This window comes from Homo sapiens, chromosome 2, assembly GCF_000001405.40.
Source record: "Homo sapiens chromosome 2, GRCh38.p14 Primary Assembly".
Taxonomy (NCBI): Eukaryota; Metazoa; Chordata; class Mammalia; order Primates; family Hominidae; genus Homo; species Homo sapiens.
Window position 1 is genome coordinate 61,572,571 of NC_000002.12, and position 20,795 is coordinate 61,593,365.

General features: G+C 44.5%; 2 pseudogenes, besides 1 other annotated feature; one reads left to right on the plus strand and one right to left on the minus strand.

The window, feature by feature from the left end:
• LOC100422418 (proteasome 26S subunit, non-ATPase 12 pseudogene) lies at nt 3,198-3,825 on the plus strand (annotated as a pseudogene).
• Nucleotides 9,548-10,139: an enhancer, noted in NCBI's record as "OCT4-NANOG-H3K27ac hESC enhancer chr2:61809253-61809844 (GRCh37/hg19 assembly coordinates)". NCBI's record gives its function as "activates a minimal SCP1, AML or CMV promoter by ChIP-STARR-seq in naive H9 embryonic stem cells {active_cell/tissue: H9 hESC(naive)}" and the evidence as "EXISTENCE:reporter gene assay evidence [ECO:0000049][PMID:30033119]".
• On the minus strand, nt 16,923-17,093 carry RPS29P10 (ribosomal protein S29 pseudogene 10; annotated as a pseudogene).

Sequence of the window (20,795 nt, forward strand, 5' to 3'; positions counted from 1 at the left end):
TCTCCCTCCAGCATGGGTTGTTATTTTTATTTTTATTTTCCTGACTACTATTTTCATATATTTGCTGATCACTTGGATTTCCTCTTTTGTGGGTATGTTTCCTCTTCTGTTCATATTCTTTGCCTCCTTCTCTTGCTTTACTTGTCTTTTTTTTTTTTTTTTTTTTTTGAGGCAGAGTCTCGCTCTGTCGCCAGGCTGGAGTGCAGTGGCTTGATCTCGCCTCACTGCAACCTCTGCCTCCCAGGTTTAAGTGATTCTCCTGTCTCAGACTCCTAACTAGCTGGGATTATAGGCACGTGCCACCATGCACAGCTAACTTTTGTATTTTTAGTAGAGATGGGATTTCATCATGTTGGCCAGGATGGTCTCAATCTCCTGACCTTGTGATCCACCCGTCTTGGCCTCCCAGAATGCTGGCATTACAGGCGTGAGCCACCATGCCCTGCCAATAAATCTTTTTCTTTTCTTTTCTTTTTTTTTTTAAGACGAAGTTTCGCTCTTGTAGCCCAAGCTGGAGTGCAATGGTGCAATCTTGGCTCACTGCAACCTCTGCCTCCCGGGTTCAATTCTCTTCCCTCAGCCTCCCAAATAGCTGGGATTATAGGTGCCCGCCACCACGCCACCATGCCCAGCTAATTTTTGTATTTTAGTAGAGATGGGGTTTCACCATGTTGAAGGCTGGTCTCGAACTCCTGACCTCAAGTGATCCGCCCATCTCGGCCTCCCAAAGTGCAGGGATTACAGACGTGAGCCACAGCGCCCATCCCAATTAAATCTTAAAAAAAATTTTTTTAAGAGATGGAGTCTTGTTACATTGCCCTCCAACTCCTGGCCTAAAGCAGTCTTCCTGCCTCAGACTCCCAAGTAGGTGGGACACCAACTATTGTAGTATTGTACTCTTAATATAATATAAAGAGAGAAGACAGAAAACTTACTTTAGTTCTGGGACTGTATACCACCACACCCAGCATTCTTTTTCTTCTTGGACTTCTGAGTTGGGCAGCTGCTTAGGTTTCTCTAACCATAAATTGATATAAAAATTTTTTGCCTGTAACCCTAGCACTTTGTGAGGGTGAGGGGTGAGGATTGCTTCAGGCTAAGAGTTCAAGCCCAGCCTGGGCAACAGACTGAGACCCCATTTCTTTCTTTCTTCTTCTTCTTTTTTTTTTTTTTTTTTTGAGACAGCATCTTGTTCTGACACCCAGACTGGAGTGCAGTGGCACAGTCACGGCTCACTGCAACCTGGAAGTTTTAGGCTCAAGTGATCCTCTGCTTCAGTCTCCTGAGTAGCTGGGATTACAGGCATGAGCCGCCGTGCTTGGCCTAATTTTCTTTATGTTTTGTAGAGATGGGGGTCTTGCTATCTTTCCCAGGCTGGTCTCAAACTCCTGGGCTCAAGCAATCCCGCCTTGGCCTCCCAAAGTGCTGGGATTACAGGTGTGAGCCACTGCTGACTATCATGCTTCTTTTTAACAACAACAACAAATATATATATAATATATATATGTATATATATACACACACGTATGTATGTGTATATATATGTATGTGTGTGTGTATATATATATATATAAATTAAAAATAAAAAGGCTTGAAACTACAATCTGTAAATAAAACCAATGTTTAAATGCAAGATTACAAAACTGCAGCTGGGGCCAGGTGCGGTGGCTCACGCCTGTAATCCCAGCACTTTGGGAGGCTGAAGCAGGTGGATCTCTTGAGGCCAGGAGTTCGAGACCAGCCTGGCCAACATGGCAAAACCCCATATCTACTAAAAATACAAAAAATTAGCTGGGTGTGGTGGCGCATGCCTGTAATCCCAGTTACTAGGGTGGCTGAGGCATAAGAATCCCTTGAACCAGGGAGGCAGAGGTTGCAGTGAGCCAATTGTGCCACTGCACTCCAGCCTGGGCGACAAAACGAGACTCCATCTCAAAAAAAAGAAAGAAAAATTAAAGACAAACAAAACTATGGCTGGGCATGGTGGTTCACACCTGTGATCCCAACACTTTGGGAGGCTGAGGCAGGAGGATCACTTGAGCCCAGGAGTTTGAGACCAGCCTTGGGCAACGTAGTAAGACCCTGTCTCTACAAAAAAATACAAAAATTGGGTCAGGCATGGTGGCTCACATCTGTAATCCCAACATTTTGGGAGGCTGAGGCAGGCAGATCACTTGAGGTCAGGAGTTCGAGACCAGCCTGGCCAACATGGCGAAGCCCCGTCTCTATTAAAAATACAAAAATTAGCTGGGCATGGTGGCACACGCCTGTAGTCCTAGCTACTCAGAAGGCTGAGGCAGGAGAATCGCTTGAACATGGGAGGCAGAGGTTGCGGTGAGCCGAGATTGTGCCACTGCACTCTAGCCTGGGTGACAGAGTAAGACCCTATCTCAGAAAAACAACAACAACAACAACAACCCCACAGAAAACGAAAAATACAAAAATTAGCCGAGCATGGTGGCATAGGTAGGCCTGCATTCCCGGCTACTTAGGAGGCTGAGGTGGGAGGATCACTTGAGCCTGGGGAGGTCAAAGCTGCAGTGAGCAGTGATTATGTCACTGTACTCCAGCCTGGCCAACAATGAGAGACCCTGTCTCAAAAAAAATTGCATTATATTTAATTTTGTTTTAAGGTGATACTGTTTGTTGAACTTAAAATGACAAGCAGAATTTGGACACCCCACCCTTTGCCCAAACTTTCTCCCACTCTGCCCTTTCCTCAATTGCTCTTTGTACTCGGGTATTTGGGCCCTTCTCCTTTCTCCCTTTGGAGTCCCTTCTGCCTTCATCTCTTCCTTCTTCATCCTATACCTCTTGGCCCATCACCTTGCTCATTCCTTTGCCTTTTCACCTGTAAAGAGGCCCAGGCTAAGCCAGTGCTTCCCATTATCCACCACAGCCATTTCAAATCTCCACAAACCTCTGACCCACCCACCCCTCCCTCCAAGAATGACCTCACCTCCAACTTTAGAGAAAACAGAAGTCTTTGAAAGGAACTCCCCCAACTTCCTGCCTCCAAAATAACACCCTTCCTTTCACCTATTAAGGCTATTTTTTCTACCTATGCTGTGGATCACACTCTCTCCACCCCCGTCCTCTTGGGCTCTGTGCAATTAATCATTCTGTCTCTCAGAATCTTGAACCTCTCTGGCTCACTAGTCTTTAAATAGTCAGTTTATAACTCAGCAGTTCGATCGGGTCTGCACAAAGGCTCCTATCTGTCTATACCCAAGCACTTCTGTGATGCTCCTGTACTCATGACCCAGCTGTTTTTCTTGTCATCCTGGCTCCTCTTTGGCAAGAAGATTAAGTTTACTGAATAAGCAGTGATAAAAAGCTAGAAGAAGTTTCTAGGCATATAGTTCTTTGCAAGCTTTTTTTTTTTTTTTAATCACCATGGAGTTGATGCTTTGGGCCATATTTGTGGAATGGAAGTAAGAAAAGATTCTTGAGAATTTTTCAACTGATGTTTTGAGAATTTTTCAACTGATGTTTTGAGAATTTTTCAACTGATGTTTTTGGTTACACAGAGAAAGGCGTGGAAGGAAAAGGTAGAAAGACTTAATCAAGTCACTGAAAATAATATTGGAATCATTATCAAGTATTATACCAGGACGACAATGGAGAGGATGGCTTCACTTTCTGGATTTGTTGATGAGTCAGATGCATCTCTCGAAGCTTGTAATTATTAAGACTAGTCGGCAAGAATGAACAATTTCCAGAGACCCAAGGATCCAAAGAACCTACCAAATGACAGGGCTCAGAAACTGAACGTGCAGTCATCGACATCTTATAGACAAAGAAGAGATGATACATCATCTACAATGAGGACCTTGATGTCCTTAATCTTTTTGAGACGGCATTCAAACTAGAATCCATAAAAATCGACTTAGCACGGGTGCCTGGTAATTTTTTCCCTCTATTCTCAACTCCTTTGTCCAAAATTTAAAAGATACATGATTTTTTTTTTTTTGAGACAGAGTCTCGCTCTGTTGCCCAGGCTGGAGTGCAGTGGCGTGATTGCAGCTCATCGCAATCTCTGCCTCCGAAGTTCAAGTGATTCTCCTGCCTCGGCCTCCTGAGTAGCTGGGACTACAGGCGCATGCCACCATGTCCGGCTAATTTTTGTATTTTTAGTAGAGACAGGGTTTCACTATGTTGGCCGGGCTGGTCTTGAATTCTGCCTCAGGTGATCCACCTGCCTTGGCCTTCCAAAGTGCTGGGATTACAGGCGTAAGCCACTGTGCCCGGCCGATGAATGAAAATATTTAAGGCCTTTCTGGCCTTTAAGTTCCCTAGGTTTCATTCCCTAGATTGCTCATATTAGCAAACCATTCATATTCACTTGCTGTTTCCTCCATTTAAGTGCACTTAAGATTTGTCTTTGTAACTATTCCTTGACACCCTTGTAATAAGAAATGTTGGAAAGCAAGATACCTTGTTGATATTGAACTAGTCTCCTGCCAAAGGCCTTTGCTAAGTTAAGATTTAATCTTATGCCCTTAGCTTCCATACAAAGGTGATTATAAAACATGTCCTTTCAGCCAGGCCCCATGGCTCATGCCTTTGGGAGGCTCACCAGCACTTTGGGAGGTGGTGGATCACCTGAGGTCAGGAGTTCAAGACCAGCCCGGCCAACATGGCAAAACCCCGTCTCTACTAAAAGTCTCTACTAAAAGTAACAAAAATTAGCTGGGTGTGATGGCAGGCACCGGTAATCCCAGCGACTAGGGGGCTGAGGCAGGAGAATCACTTGAACCCTGGAGGTGGAGGTTGCAGTGAGCCAAGATCTCGCCATTGCACTCCAGCCTGGGCAACAAGAGCAAAACTCCGTCTCAAAAAAAAAAAGGTCTTTGAAATAAATGTTTCCTCTTTTTTTTTTTTTTTTTTTGAGACGGAGTCTCGCTCTGTCGCCCAGGCTGGACTGCAGTGGCGCGATCTCAGCTCACTTTCTCCTGCCTCAGCCTCCCGAGTAGCTGGGACTACAGGCGCCCGCCACCACGCCCGGCTAATTTTTTTTATTTTTTATTTTTAGTAGAGACAGGGTTTCACCATGTTAGCCAGGATGGTCTCGATCTCCTGACCTGGTGATCATCCGCCTCGGCCTCCCAAAGTGCTGGGATTATAGGCGTGAGCCACCGCCCCCGGCCCTGTTTCCTCTATCTTTTGCAAAGTCAAATCAAAGACATCCATTTATTCATTCACTTAACAAATACTTATTGAATCCTGATTACATGCCAGGCTGGGGATACAAACATGAATGAAACTTAGCTCTTGCCCCAAAGGAGAACACAACCTAGTGAGAAGCAGACACCTAAATAAATCATGATATAGTGTTAGAATGTCTATAATTAGACGCATAAATAAAGTGCTATGGGAGCAAAGAAGAGAGAATGAGTAGTTCCGCCTCAGGGTAGAGGACGCTTCTCATAGGCCTCATAAAAAGGTTGATGGCCGGGCCTGGTGGCTCACGCCTGTAATCCCAGCACTATGGGAGGCCGAGGCAGGTGGATCACTTGAGGTCAGGCGTTCAAGACCAGCCTGGCCAATATGGTGTAACCCTGTCTCCACTAAAAATACAAAAATTAGCCAGGTGTGGTGGTGCACACCTGTAATCCCAGCTACTCAGGAGGCTGAGGCAAGAGAATCACTTGAACCTGGGATGTGGATGTTGCAGTGAGCCAAGATTGCACCATTGCACTTCAGCCTGGGCAACAAGAGCGAAAGTGGGTTTCAAAAATAGTAATAATAATAATAATAATAATCAAAACAGGCCGGGCACCATAGCTCATGCCTGTAATCCCAGCACTTTGGGAAGCCCATGTCAGGGGATCACCTGAGGTCAGGAGTTCAAGACCAGCCTGGCCAATATGGTGAAACCTCATCTCTACTAAAAATACAAAAATTAGTCGGGCATGGTGGCACACACCTGTAATCTCAGCTACTCAGGAGACTGAGGCAAGATAATCACTTGAACCCGGGAGGCAGAGGTTGCAGTGAGCCAAGATTGCACCACTGCGCTCCAGCCTGGGCGACAGAGCGAGACTCCTTCTTAAAAAAATAATAAAAATAAAAATAAAAAACAGGCCAGGAGTGGTGGCTAGCGTCTGTAATCCCAGCACTTTGGGAGGCCGAGGTGGGGGCGGATCACTTGTGGTCAGGAACTCGAGACCAGCCTGACCAAATAGCGAAACCCCGTCTCTACAAAAATACAAAAATTAGCTGGGTGTGTTGGCATGCGCCTGTAGTTCTAGCTACTCGGGAGGCTGAGGCAGAAGAGTTGCTTGAACCCGGGAGGCAGAGGCTGTAGTGAGCCGAGATCAAGCCACTGCACTCCAGCCTGGATACTGAAGATTGAGAAGAAGTTACCTAACCAAGAGGGAAGGAGAGAAAGGCATTCCAGGCCTGAGAGCCAGAATAAAGATGAACAAGTATGAACTAGATTGGTAAATTCAGAGAACAGTCACTAGGATAGAAAATGGACAAAAGTATCCAGACATGAGGCCAGAGAAGTAGGTTAGGGCCAGGTAAGGTGGCTCACGCCTGTAATCCCAGTACTTTGGGAAGCTAAGGTGGGCGGATCATCTGAGGTCAAGAGTTCAAGACTACCCTGGACAACATGGTGAAACCCCGTCTCTACAAAAATACAAAAATTAGCTGGGTGTGGTGGCACATGCCTGTAATCCCAGCTACTCGGGAGGCTGAGGCAGGAGAATCACTCAAACCTGGGAGGTGGAGGTTGCAGTGAGTCGAGATCACACCACTGCACTCCAGCCTGGGTGACAGAGTAAGACTCCATCTCAAAAAAAAAGAAAAAAAAAAATTAGCCAGGAGGGGTGGTGTGCGCCTGTAGTCCCAGCTGCTTGGGAGGCTGAGGCAGGAGGATAGCTTGAGACCAGGAGTTCAAGGTCAAGGTTGCAGTGAGCCATGATGGCACCACTGCACTCCAGCCTGGGTGACAGAGTGAGATCCTGTCTCAGAAAAAAAGAAAAAATAAAAGAAAAGTAGGTTAGGGTATGATATGATCTTAAAGAGCCTTGAGGTTTCATGGAAAATGCTTGTAGGCCCTGGAGACAGACTGTTCTGTGTAACTTCTTTACCATTTACTAGCTATGAAACACTGGGTAACTTAATGTCCTAAGCCACATTTCCCAACTCTAAAAGAGGAATGCTCTCATTTAATAGTATTCATTGAGCATCTACTATGGGCCAAGCACATAATGATAATAATGCCACTTTATAGGGTTGTTGGGAGGACAAGTTAATAAATAAAAAGCATCTTGAGGCCAGGCGCGGTGGTTCACGCCTGTAATCCCAGCACTTTGGGAGGCCGAGGTGGATGGATCACGAGGTCAGGAGATCAAGACCATCCTGGCTAACATGGTTTTTAGCACAGTCATCACAGATGAACAAATCCTTAAATATATTAGTAGAGTTTCCAAAAGCACTTCACAGAACATTTAGGCCCTTGAGGGAGACCTGTCTCCTCTAGGACAGTCTTTCTTCTAGGAGGGTATTTCTAGGAATTAGGAGCAGGAATTTGGCCAACCTGGGTTCCAGATATTTCTATCGCCTGTAATAGAGTTAAGGGGAGAAGGAAAACAGTTTAGAAAGGGTGATAATAGGGAGCTGTTCTATTTTATTCTATTTTTGAGACAGGGTCTCACTCTGTTGCCTAGGCTGGAGTGCAGCGCCTACTTCTATTTTAGGAAGTCAGAATTTGAAGTGATGGAAATACATCTGAATGGAGATATATTTTTGGCTGCAGAAATTATTTTATGTACATGTCTGAAGACTTGTATACATGTTCCAACCCTTTGACCTTATAATTATTCTGTTAGAAGTTTTTCATATGGAAATGACCCAAAAGAGAAGGAAAACTGGAAAAGCAGAATAATAAAAAAGGAAACAATCTAATTGTCAATAATATGAATACAGCTAAGTAAATTATCTGCTTGATATAATAGATTATTATGTAACTATCAAAATATAGTTATGGGCTAGGTGCAGTGGCTCATGCCCGTAATCCCAGCTCTTTGCAAATCCCAGCCCTTGGCTAAATCTGGGAGGCCAAGGAGGGTGGATCACTTGAGGCCAGAAATTCGAGACCAGCCTGGGCAACATAGCAAAACCCCATCTCTACAAAAAGATACAAAATTAGCCAGGCAGCTGGGCGTGGCGGCTCATGCCTGTAATCCCAGCACTTTGGGAGGCCGAGGCAGGTGGATCACCTGAGGTCGGGAGTTCGATACCAGCCTGACCAACATGGAGAAACCCCGCCCACCGCCCCCCCCCCGCCACTAAAAATACAAAATTAGCCTGGTGTGGTGGCATATGCCTATAATCCCAGCTACTCAGGAGGCTGAGGCAGGAGCATCGCTTGAACCCGGGAGGCAGGGGTTGTAGTGAGGTGAGATTGTGTCATTGCACTCCAGCCTGGGCAACAGGAGCAAAACTCCATCTCAAAAAAAAAAAAAAAAAAAAAATTAGCCAGGCATTGTGGCATGCGCCTGTAGTCTCAGCTACTCAGGAAGTTGAGGTGGGAGGATCAATTGAGCCCTAGAGGTAGAGGTTGCAGCGAGCTGTGATTGCACCACTGCACTTTAGCCTGGATGACAAAGTGAGGCCCTGTCTCAAAGAAAAAATAATAAATAAATAAATAAATAAATAGCCGGGCACGGTGGCTCACACCTGTAATCCCAGCACTTTGGGAGGCCGAGGCGGGCGGATCATGAGGTCAGGGGATCGAGATCATCCTGGCTAACACGGTGAAACCCCGTCTCTACTAAAAATACAAAAAATTAGCCGGGCGAGGTGGCAGGTGCCTGTAGTCTCAGCTACTCGGGAGGCTGAGGCAGGAGAATGGCGTGAACCCGGGGGGTGGAGCTTGCAGTGAGCCAAGATCGCGCCACTGCACTCCAGCCTGGGTGACAGAGCGAGACTCCGTCTCAAAAAAAAAAAAAAAAAAAACTTAAAATAAAATATAAATAAATTGCACCAACTTAAATCCCACCAGCAGTGTATAACATATCCTTACCAGCATGTGTTGTTATATGATTTTTTTTCCTTTTTGACTATCTGAAGGTTATAAAGTGGTGTTTCCTTTTGGTTTAAATTTTCAGTTCTCTGATTACTAATAAAGTTGTGTGCATTTTTTCATATGTTTATTGACCATTCAAGTCCCTTCTATGAAATGCCTCTTTATATCTTTTGCCTTACTTGGTTATAAATCTCTTGTTTAAGCCTTTCGTAACTGCTAGGCATGGGGGCTAAAGGGTTTTGCATAGGTTATGTTATGAATCCTTACAATCTACTGCCTTGAGTCCTTTTTTAGAGCAAGATATTTATACATGTTAATGAGTCTTTGCTACTGTATAAGGTATCTGTCTACAGATTTAAAGAAAAAGAAACACTTCTAAGTTTCCTAACCTTTAGCAAAGTGTAATGCCTCCACACTCAACACATTTATTTTAGGAAAGACCTTAATTCTGACTCTATTTCACAAATGTTATTTGAAAGCAGCATTAGCTTTATCAGTTAAAGAGTTTTTTTAAATCAAAAATAGCGTGCATTTGAAAAAGAAGACAGTGAGCTGCTAGTAGTTTAGCCCCCTTGCCACTTTAAGTGTGAAACAGAGACCAGCAGCATCACCATCCACCCGGAACTTGTTAGAAATGTAGAATCTTGAGCCTCACCCTAGATCTACTGAATCAGAATGTACATTTTAAAAAGGTCTCCAGGTGACTCACTGGTACTTTTCAATTTGAAAAGGGCTGGTTAGCTAAACGGTGGTAGACACTACATGTAGGATCTGGTTGGGACTGGGGCTGAAGGAATGTCTTTGTTTTTTCAGTGTATTTGGAGCCTGACATTGTTAGGTGTAAGTGCTTGAATCTCTGGGGGGCCCATCTAGGTGAAATGGAGCTGAGAACACGCAAGTTACTTGGATCTGTCAGGTAGTTTCTGGTCTTACAGCCCCAGAAAAATAAAATAGACTAAACAATGTGGCCTGAAATATATCTAATTGAGGTCTAACTAATTTTTTATTTTTTTTCTAGAATGATCTATACAATTGATCCAACTCTTCACTTCATTTTGAGTGTATGATTCAGTCTGACAGTCTTACATTAACTAGATGGGTTTGACTAATAGATTTTTGAACCTCAGAACCTTAGAAATCGTTTGTACCAACACTTCCATTTTACAGATGAGGCAAATGAAGCATCATGCAATTAAGGGAGAGATCACACAGCATTCAGTGGCAGGATGACAGTCCCAGTCTTGGGCTTTTGCCATTTAATCAGAGGCCCAGATTAGGAATTTCCCAATTCTCTAGATACATCTGGCCCGAGGTGGGTAAACTCAGTATTTTTTTTTATATAATTAAAGGAATGAATTAATATCTTGTGAAAATAGCCTGGTAATGTAAAAACGACATAAAAAGCAACTTTTTTTTTTTTTTTTGAGACAGGGTCTTGCTGTCACCCAGGCTGGAATGCAGTGGCACTATCACAATCCGCTGCAGCCTCAACCTCCTCAGCTCAAGCCATCCTCCCACTTCAGCCTTCCCAGTAGCTTGGACTACAGGTGTGCAACACCACACCCAGCTAATTTTTGTATTTTTTTGTAAAGGCAGGGTTTTGCTATGTTGTCCGGCTGGTCTTGAACTCCTGGGCTTGAGTAATCTGCCCACCTTGGCCTCCCAAGGTGCTGGGATTACAGGCATGGGCCACTGTGCCTGGCATAAAGCAACTTTCTTAGTGAAAATATTCTATAACAGGCCAGGTGTGGTGGTTTACACCCGTAATCCCAGGACTTGAGGAGCCCGAAGTGGGAGGATAGCTTGAGGCCAGGAGTTCCAGATCAGCCTGGAGTATCCAGGCTGGAGTATCCAGAACATAGTGAGACCCTGTCTCTACAAACGAACAGACAAAAAAAGATTCTATAACATTCACCCAATAGCAATTGTTAAGTAGCAAAATAACTTAAATGCCACCATCTTCAGGGCTCCTTTCTAGCTCCAGTGCAGTTAGAAAGTTTGGATCTAAAGAAACATCTGAGGCCGGGCACGGTGGCTCACGCCTGTATTCCCAGCACTTTGGGAGGCCGAAGGGGGCGGATCACGAGGTCAGGAGTTCAAGACCAGCCTGACCAACATGGTAAAACCCCGTTTCTACTAAAAATACAAAAATTAGCTGGGCGTGGTGGCACGCACCTGTAATTCCAGGTACTCAGGAGGCTGAGGCAGGAGAATTGCTTGAACCCAGGAGGCAGAGGTTGCAGTGAGCCGAGATCTTGCCATTGCACTCCAGCCTGCGCGACAGAGCAAGACTCAGTCTCAAAAAAAAAAAAAAAAAAAAGCAGCATCTCATAGGCCAGGCGTGGTAGCTCATGCCAGTAAGCCCAGCACGTTGGGAGGCCAAGAGTAGGGGCTGGATCACTTGAGGCCAGGAGTTCAAGACCAGCCTGGCCAACATGGCGAAATCCTGTCTCTACTAAAAATGCAAAATTAAAAAAAAAAAATTAGCCGGAGATGGTGGTGCATGCCTGTAGTTCCAGCTACTTGGGAGGCTGAGGCAGGAGAATTGCTTGAACCTGGGAGGAGGAGGCTGCAGTGAGCCAAGATCACGCCATTCCACTCCAGCCTGGGTGACAGAGTAAGACTCTATCTCAATAAATAAATAAATAGGCCAGATGCAGGGGCTCATGCCTGTAATCCCAGCACTTTGGGAGGCTGAGGCGGGCTTATCATGAGGTCAAGATATCAAGGCCATTCTGGCCAACATGGTGAAACCACGTCTTCACTGAAAATACAAAAAATTAGCTGGGCATGGTGGCGTGGGCCTGTAGTCCCAGCTACTCAGGAAGCTGAGGCAGGAGAATCGCTCGAACCCGGAAGGCAGAGGTTGTAGTGAGCCAAGATTGTGCCACTGCACTCCAGCCTGGTGACACAGTGAGACTCTGTCTAAAAATAAAATAAAATAAAATAAAATAAAATAAAATAAAATAAAATAAAATAAAATAAAATAAAATAAAGAAGCATCTGACACTCAGACTTCTCTGCTCTTCTTACCGTATCCTATCCTATAATTAAAAGTAAAAATAGGCCGGGCACGGTGGCTCACACCTGTAATCCCAGCACTTTAGGTGGCCGAAGTGGGTGGATTACCTGAGGTCAGGAGTTCGAGACCAGCCTGACCAATAAGATGAAACCCCGTCTCTACTAAAAAAAAAAAAAAAAAAAAAAATATATATATATATATATATATACATACAACAAATTAGCTGGGCATGGTGGCGCATGCCTGTAATTCCAGCTACTTGGGAGGCTGAGGCAGGAGAATTTCTTGAACCCAGGAGGCAGGATTGCAGTGAGCCGAGATCGCACCATTGCACTCCAGCCTGGGCAACAAGAGTGAAACTCCATCTCAAAAAAAAAAAAAAAACAAAAAAACAGTAAAAACAATAAATAAATACATAATACAAAAAATTGGGGATGGTAGTAAGAGGAGTAAAATGCTGGGCGTGGTGGCTCATGCCTGTAATCTTAGCACTTTGGGAGGCCAAGGCGGAAGGATCCCTTGAGCCCAGGAGCTGGAGACCAGTCTTGTGCAACAGGGCATGGTGGCACACCTCTGTAGCTACTTGGGAGGCTGAGGCAGGAGGACTGCCTGAGCCCAAGAAGTCAAGGCTGCAGTGAGCTGTGATCTCACCAGTGCACTCCAGCCTGGGTGACAGAACGAGACCCCATCTCAAAAAAAAAAAAAGTAAAAATAAAATAAAAGAGTTCAAAGTAAAGATTTAAAAGTTTAACCCTGGTGACTTCCTAATCCCTAAATTATACTGACTTAAACTAATTCCACACTTACTGCCGCAGCCCCACCTCCAGAAGGGCAGTCATGGAAGGACCCTATTGTTCTGGGCTTCCTTTCTTTGTCCACTCCCAGCCTCTGAACAGTCACATTAAGCTATCCTTCTCCTGCTCTTTGAGATCTAAAAAAGACCTGGGGTTTTCCCTGCCACTGGGCAAGTTTATGACAAATATTGTTGCTCCCCTATTTTAAAACTTCCCTTTCCCCATAAGAAGCATTTCTGTGGTCACTGGGGACTTTTACAACTAATAATAAACGCAGATTCAAGAAGCTCAAAGGGATTCACATACACTTTTTAACAATGATGAAAGAAAGATACAAATAAACGGCCAGAAGTGGTCATCTCCTGGGAGGGGAGTGGGACGGGGTGGAGGGAGGTCAAGGGCAATTTAATCTTATCTGAATTGTTAGAATGTTTTGCAGAGGCAGGCATGGTGGCTCACGCCTGTAATCCCAGCACTTTGGGAGGCGGCGGCAGGAGGGTCGCTTGAGCCCAGGAGTTGCCTTGGGCAACATGGCGAGACCTCATCTGTACAACAAACAAACCTACAAATTTAGCCAGGCATGGTGGCACAGACCTGCAGTGGTCCAAGCTACTTGGGAGGCTGAGGCATGAGGACCTCCTGATCCCAGGAGATCAAGTCTGCAGTGAGCTGTGATCGCGCCACTGCACTCCAGCCTGGGCAACAGAGCGAGACTCTTGTCTCAAAAAAAGGAAAAAAGAATATTTAGCAAATAAAATATATCAATGGGCCGAGCGCGGTGGCTCACGCCTGTAATCCCAGCACTTTGGGAGGCCAAGGCGGGGGGATCACGAGGTCAAGAAATCGAGAGCATCCTGGCTAACACGGTGAAACCCCGTCTGTACTAAAAATACAAACAAATAAGCCGGGCGCAATGGCGGGCGCCTGTAGTCCCAGCTACTCGAGAGGCTGAGGCAGGAGAATGGCGTGAACCCGGGAGGCGGAGCTTGCAGTCAGCCGAGATGGCGCCACTGCACTCCAGCCTGGGCGACAGAGGGAGACTCCGTCTCAAAAAAACAAAAAAACAAAAAAACAACAATAAAAAAAAGAAAATATATCAATGTATTACTTAATTAAAGCAAGGAATCATGAAAAAAATGGAAGAACTACATGCTCATATTAAAGTTTTAATCTATACAGCAAAGGAAGTAAAAGTTGCCCACTCCTCATTCTCTAAGCCACTCTCCAGAAGAAGCCTCTGTTGGGAGGTGTTTTTATGCCCTTCCATTAATGTTCTAAGCATATTTACACATACCCAATTCTTTTTCTCTCTCTCTCTTTCTATAAAGTAGAATCACAAAGCATGGTTTTGAGTTTCCTTTATCTACCCAACATTTACTATGTCTTGGGTGGGATGGCTCTTAGCAATGTGCTCTCTTTTTAAAAATAAAATTTTTGACTTTAATTTTAATTCTAATTTTCCAGGCTGGTTAACATAGAAGACCCCGTTTCTACAAAAAAAAAATTAAAAACTAACCGGGCATGGTGGCACACCTGTAGTCCCAGCTACTTGGAAGGCTGAGGCAGGAGGATCACTTGAACCCAGGGGGTCGAGGCTGCAGTGAGCCCTGATTGTGCCACTGCACTCCAGCTTGGGTGACAGAGCAAGACCCTGTCTCAAAAAATAATAATAGAATACACTTTTATTTATTTATTTATTTATTTATTTATTTATTTATTTTTGATACGGAGTCTTGCTCTGTTGCCCAGGCTGGAGTGCAGTGGCACAATCTTGGTTCACTGCAACCTCCACCTCCTGGATTCAAGCGATTCTCCTGCCTCAGCTTCCTGAGTAGCTGGGATTACAGGGATGTGCCACCACGCCCAGCTAATTTTTGTATTTTTTAGTGGAGATGGAGTTTCACCATGTTGGCCAGGCTGGCCTTCTTTTTTTTTTTTTTTTTTTGAGACAGAGTCGCTATTGCCCAGGCTGGAGTGCAATGGCACGATCTCGGATCACTGCAAACTTCGTCTCCCGGGTTCAAGTGATTCTCCTGCCTCAGCCTCCCAAGTAACTGGGGTTGCAGGAATGTGCCACCATGCCTGGCTAATTTTTGTGTTTTTAGTAGAGAAAGGGTTTTGCCATGTTGGCCAGGCTCGTCTCAAACTCCTGTCATCAAGGGATCCACCCTCCTCAGCCTCCCAAAGTGTTGGGATTACAGGCGCGAGCCACCACACCTGGCCATAAACTTTTATTTTTTAGAGCAATTTTAGGTTCACAGCAAAAAGTACAGAGTTCCTATTAATATTATAACCTCTATCCCCAAACATGCACAACCTTCTCCAGTATTAATATCCCCCAGCATAGTGGTATATTTGTTACAATTGATGAACCTACATTGACACATCATTGTCATCCAAAGTCTGTACTTTACATTAGGGTTCACTCTTGGTGTTGTGCCTTCTATACGTATAATAAACACATTTGGCCGGGTGCAGTGGCTCACGCCTGTAATCCCAGGACTCTGGGAAGTCAAGGTGGGTGGATCACCTGAGGTCAGGAGTTCGAGACTAGTCTGACCAATATGGTGAAACCTCATCTCTACTAAAAATACAAAAATTAGCTGGGTGTGGTGATGTGCGCCTCTAAGTCCCAGCTACTTGGGAGGCTGAGACAGGAGAATTGCTTGAACCTGGAAGCTTGAGGTTGCAGTGAGCTGAGATTGCACCACTGTCCTCCAGCCTGGGCAACAGAGCGAGACTCTGTCTCAAAAAAAACCAAAGCCAAAAACAAAAAACCCACATTTGTCCATCATTGTAGTATCATTCAGAGTAGTTGACTGCCCTAATGATCCCCTGTGCTCTGCCTATTCAACCCTACTTCCGCTTAGCCCTTGGCAACCACTAATCTTTTCACTGTCTCCATAGTTTCGCATTCTGTAGAATGTCATATAGCTGGAATTATACAGTATGTAGACTTTTCACGTTGGCTTCTTTCACTTGGTAGTCTGTGTTTAAAGGTCCTCCCTGGCTTTTCATGGCTCAATAGCTCATTTCCTTTCAGTGCTGAATAATATTACATTGTCTGATGTACCACAGTTTATCCATTCATCTACTTCAGGGCATCTTGATTACTTCCGAGTTTTGGCAATTATGAATAGAGCTGCTATAAATATAAACAAGTTTTCATATAGACATAAGTTCTCAATTAATTTGGGTAAATATAAAGGAGTGTGATTGGTGGATCATATGGTTAGAGTTATTTATTTATTTATTTTTTCATTTTTACTCCTGGGAACTCAGGACAGAGTATGCTCATTTTGTGAGAAACTGCCAACTGTCTTCCGAAGAGGCTGTGCCATTTTGCATCCCACCAGCAGTGAATGAGAGCTCTTATTGTTTCACTTCCCTGCTAGCATTTGGTGCTGTCGGTGTTCTGGATTTTGGCCCTGCTAATAGGTGTGTGGAGGTATCTTGTTTTCATTTGCAATACCCTAATGACTTAGGATGTTGGACATCTTTAATTTATTTTATTTTATTTTATTTTATTTTATTTTTTTGAGACGGAGTCTCACTCTGTCACCCAGGCTGGAGGGCAGTGGCGTGATCTCTGCTAACTGCAACTTCTGCCTCAGCCTCCTGAGTAGCTGGGATTACAGGCGCCTGCCACCACACCCAGCTAATTTTTGTGTTTTTAGTAGAGACTGGGTTTCACCATGTTGGTCAGGCTGGTCACGAACTTCTGACCTCGTGATCCGCCCGCCTCCCAGAGTGCTGGGATTACAGGCGTGAGCCACCACACCTGGCCTGGACATCTTTTAATATGCTTACTTGTCATCGTATTTCTTCCTAGGTGAGACGTTTGTTCAGGTTTTTTTGCCCGCTTTTAAAATCCAGTTGTTCATTTTCTCATTGTTGAGTTTTCAGGGTTCTTTGTATAGCTTGGATAACGGTCCTTTATGAAACGCGTTTTTTTGTTTTGTTTTGTTTTGTAGTTGTAGTTTTTAAATGTTTATTTTATGTACAAAGAGCAATCATGGTTTTTTATTGGGTGGATGCCTTGGATAATCCATTCAAGGAAGATCACTTAGTCCAACTTAATGAAACCTATATCCTTCGCATACCGATGGAAACACTGGAGGCACATATTGTGGCCATATTTCTGGATCAGACTGTGCAGGTCTGAGCAGATGCCATGAGAGCGAGAACCCTGGCCGAATTTTTGCAGGTGGCTCCAGTACAGCTGCGGGTGACCCATCTTGCTCTCAGGAATGCAACGACGTAAAAGGAAAGCCATGAAACATGTCTTTTGCAAATATTCTCTCCCAGTCTGTGGCTTATCTTGTTCTCTCCATTTTTTTTTCTTTTTTTTTTTTTTTTTTTCTGAGACGGAGTCTCGCTCTGTCGCCCAGGCTGGAGTGCAGTGGCACGATCTCGGCTGACTGCAAGCTCCGCCTCCCGGGTTCACGCCATTCTCCTGCCTCAGCCTCCGCAGTAGCTGGGACTGCAGGCGGCCCGCCACCGCGCCCGGCTAATTTTTTGTATTTTTAGTAGAGACGGGGTTTCACTGTGGTCTCGATCTCCTGACCTCGTGATCTGCCTGCCTCGGCCTCCCAAAGTGTTGGGATTACAGGCGTGAGCCACTCCGCCCGGCTCATCTTCTTGTTCTCTTGATGCCCCATCTTTTTAATGGGTGCATAGCATTTCATTGGGTGCCTTATTTAACTAGTCCCCTCTTAATGAACATTTATGTTGTTTTTTTCCAGTTTTTGCTATTAAATGTTACAATGGATAGTTTCTAGTAATCACATTTGAATATCTGTGTACATATGTGTGTGAAATAAATTTCTTGGCCCCGTGAAGTGGCTCACGCCTGTAATTCCAGCACCTTGGGAGTCAAAGGCAGGAGGGTTGCTTGAGGCCAGGAATTCAAGAGTAGTCTGAGCATAGTAGCCAGACCCTCTCTTTACAAAAAAATATTTTAAATTAGCTGAGTGTGCTTAACAATGGGGATAATAAAAGAGGAAGAAGAAAAGGAAGAGAAAGAGGAAAGAAGAAGGAAGAAGAAGGAAGAAGAAGAAGAGGAAGAAGAGGAAGAAGAAAAATTAGCTGAGCATGATGATGTATGCTCTAGTACCAGCTACTCCAGAGGCTGAGGCAGGAGAATGGTTTGAGCTCAGGAGTTCCAGACTGTAGTGAGTTATACTCATTCCACATGCCCCACACACCAGCCTGTGAATGTGAGACCTTGTCTCTAAAAAAACAAAAAATAAATTGTTGTAGCCAACTTGTTTTCCAAAACAAAGTAGCACCTTCAAATATAATTGATAATTTATTATTTATTTCTGAGCACTTCTGTGAGGTGGATAAATAACACATTCCAGTTAATTTTCAAGATTAACAATAGGCTAGAGATCACTTGTACATTATTATATATTTCACTATAACCTGAGACCCATAGTGGCTCAATCAAGAAATATTTATTAACTAGTCAACTATGGACACAGCTTCTAAAACTTCCTATAATTTGTATTCAATAAAAAGTGTGCTGGGCGCGGTGGCTCACGCATGTAATCCCAGCACTTTGGGAGGCTGAGGTGGGCAGATCACGAGGTCAGGAGATCGAGACCATACTGGCTAACATGGTGAAACCCCGTCTCTACTAAAAATACAAAAAATTAGCTGGGTGTGGTGGCAGGCGCCTGTAGTCCCAGCTACTCAGGAGGCAGGAGAATGGCGTGAACCTGGGAGGCGGAGCTTGCAGTGAGCGGAGATCGCACGACTGCACTCCAGCCTGGGCGACACAGCGAGACTCCATCTCAAAAAAAAAAAAAAAAAAAAGGAAGGGGGGCAACAGATATCACACCATTGCACGCCAGCCCAGGAAACAGAGTGTAACCGTGTGTGAAAAAAAAAAAAAGTGGGCTGCAAACCCCATGTAGAGTGATCATATAATTGGCTGGGTGCAGTGGTGCACACCTGTAATCCCAGCACTTTGGGAGGCTGAGGCAGGTGGATCACCTGCAGTCAGGAGTTTGAGACCAGCCTAGCCAACATGGCAAAAACCCATCTCTACTAAAAATACAAAAATTAGCCAGGTATGGTGGCACATGCCTGTAATCCCAGCTACTCAGGAGGCTGAGGTAGGAGAATTGCTTGAACCCAGGAGGCAGAGGTTGCAGTGAGCCAAGATTGTTCTACTGCACTCTAGCCTGGGTGACAGAGTCAGACTGTGTCACAAAAAAAAAAAACAAAAAGAAAAGGACAGTGCTCCAGCTCTGCTAAGGGACAGACTGCTTCCTCAAGTGGGTCCCTGGCCCTGGTGCCTCCTGACTGGGAGACACCTCCCAACAGGGGTCGACAGACATTTCATAAAGAAGAGCTCCGTCTGGCCTCAGGCCAGTGCCCCTCTAGGAAGAAACTACTTCCAGAGGAAGGAGCAGTCAGCAATCTTTGCTGTTCTGCAGCCTCCACTGGTGATACCCACGTGAATAGGGTCTGGAATAGACCTCCAGCAAACTGTAGCAGACCTGCAGAACAGGGGCCTGACTATTAGAAGAAAAACTAACAGACAGAAAGCACAACACCAACATCAACAAAAAAGACCCTCACAAAAAATCCCCATCCAAAGGTCATCAGCCTCAAAAATCAAAGGTAGATAAATCCACGAAGATGAGGAAAAACCAGCCCCAAAACACTGAAAATTCCAAAAACCAGAATGCCTCTTCTCCAAATGATTGCAACTCCTTTCCTCTCTAGCAAGGGCACAAAACTGGACCGAGAATGAGATTGACAAATTGACAGAAGTAGGCTTCAGAAGGTGGGTAATAACAAACTCCTCTGAGCTAAAGGAGCATGTTCTAACCCAATGCAAGGAAGCTAAGAACCTTGATGAAAGGTTATAGGAACTGCTAACTAGAATAACCAGTTTAGAGAAGAACATAAATGACCTGATGGAGCTGAAAAACACAGCATGAGAACTTCATAAAGCATACACAAATATCAATAGCCAAATCGATCAAGCGGAAGAAAGGATATCAGAGATTGAAGATCACCTCACTGAAATAAGGTGTGAAGACAAGATTAGAGAAAAAAGAATGAAAAAGAACGAACAAAGCCTCCAAGCAATATGGGACTATGTGAAAAAACCAAACCTACGATTGACTAGGGTACCTGAAACTGACGGGGAGAATGGAGCCAAGCTGAAAAACACACTTCAGGATATTATCCAGGAGAACTTCCCCAACCTAACAAGACAGGCCAACATTCGAATTCAGGAAATACAGAAACACCACTAAGATACTCCTGAAGAAGAGCAACCCCAAGACACATAATAGTCAGATTCTCCAAGGTTGAAATGAAGGAAAAAATGTTAAGGGCAGCCAGAGAGGAAGGTCAGGTTACCTACAAAGGGAAGCCCATCAGACTAACAGCAGATCTGTCTGCAGAAACCCTACACGCCAGAAGAGAGTGGGGGCCAATATTCAACATTCTTAAAGAAAAGAATTTTCAGGCTGGGCGTGGTGGCTCATGTCTGTAATCCCAGCACTTTGGGAGGTCGAGGCGGGTGGATTATGAGGTCATGAGTTTGAGACCAGCCTGGCCAAGATGGTGAAACCCCTTCTCTACTAAAGATACAAAAAAATGGCTATACTGCCCAAAGTAATTTAAAGATTCAATGCTATTCCCATCAAGCTACCTTTGACTTTCTTTGTAGAGTTAGAAAAAACTACTTTAAATTTCATATGGGACCAAAAAAGAACCTGTATAGCCAAGACAATTCTAAGCAAAAAGCACAAAGCTGGAGGCATCACGTATCTGACTTCAAACTATACTACAAGGCTACAGTAACCAAAACAGAATGGTACTGATACCAAAACAGATATATAGAACAATGGAGCAAAACAGAGACCTCAGAAATAACACCACACATCTGCAACCATCTGATCTTTGGCAAACC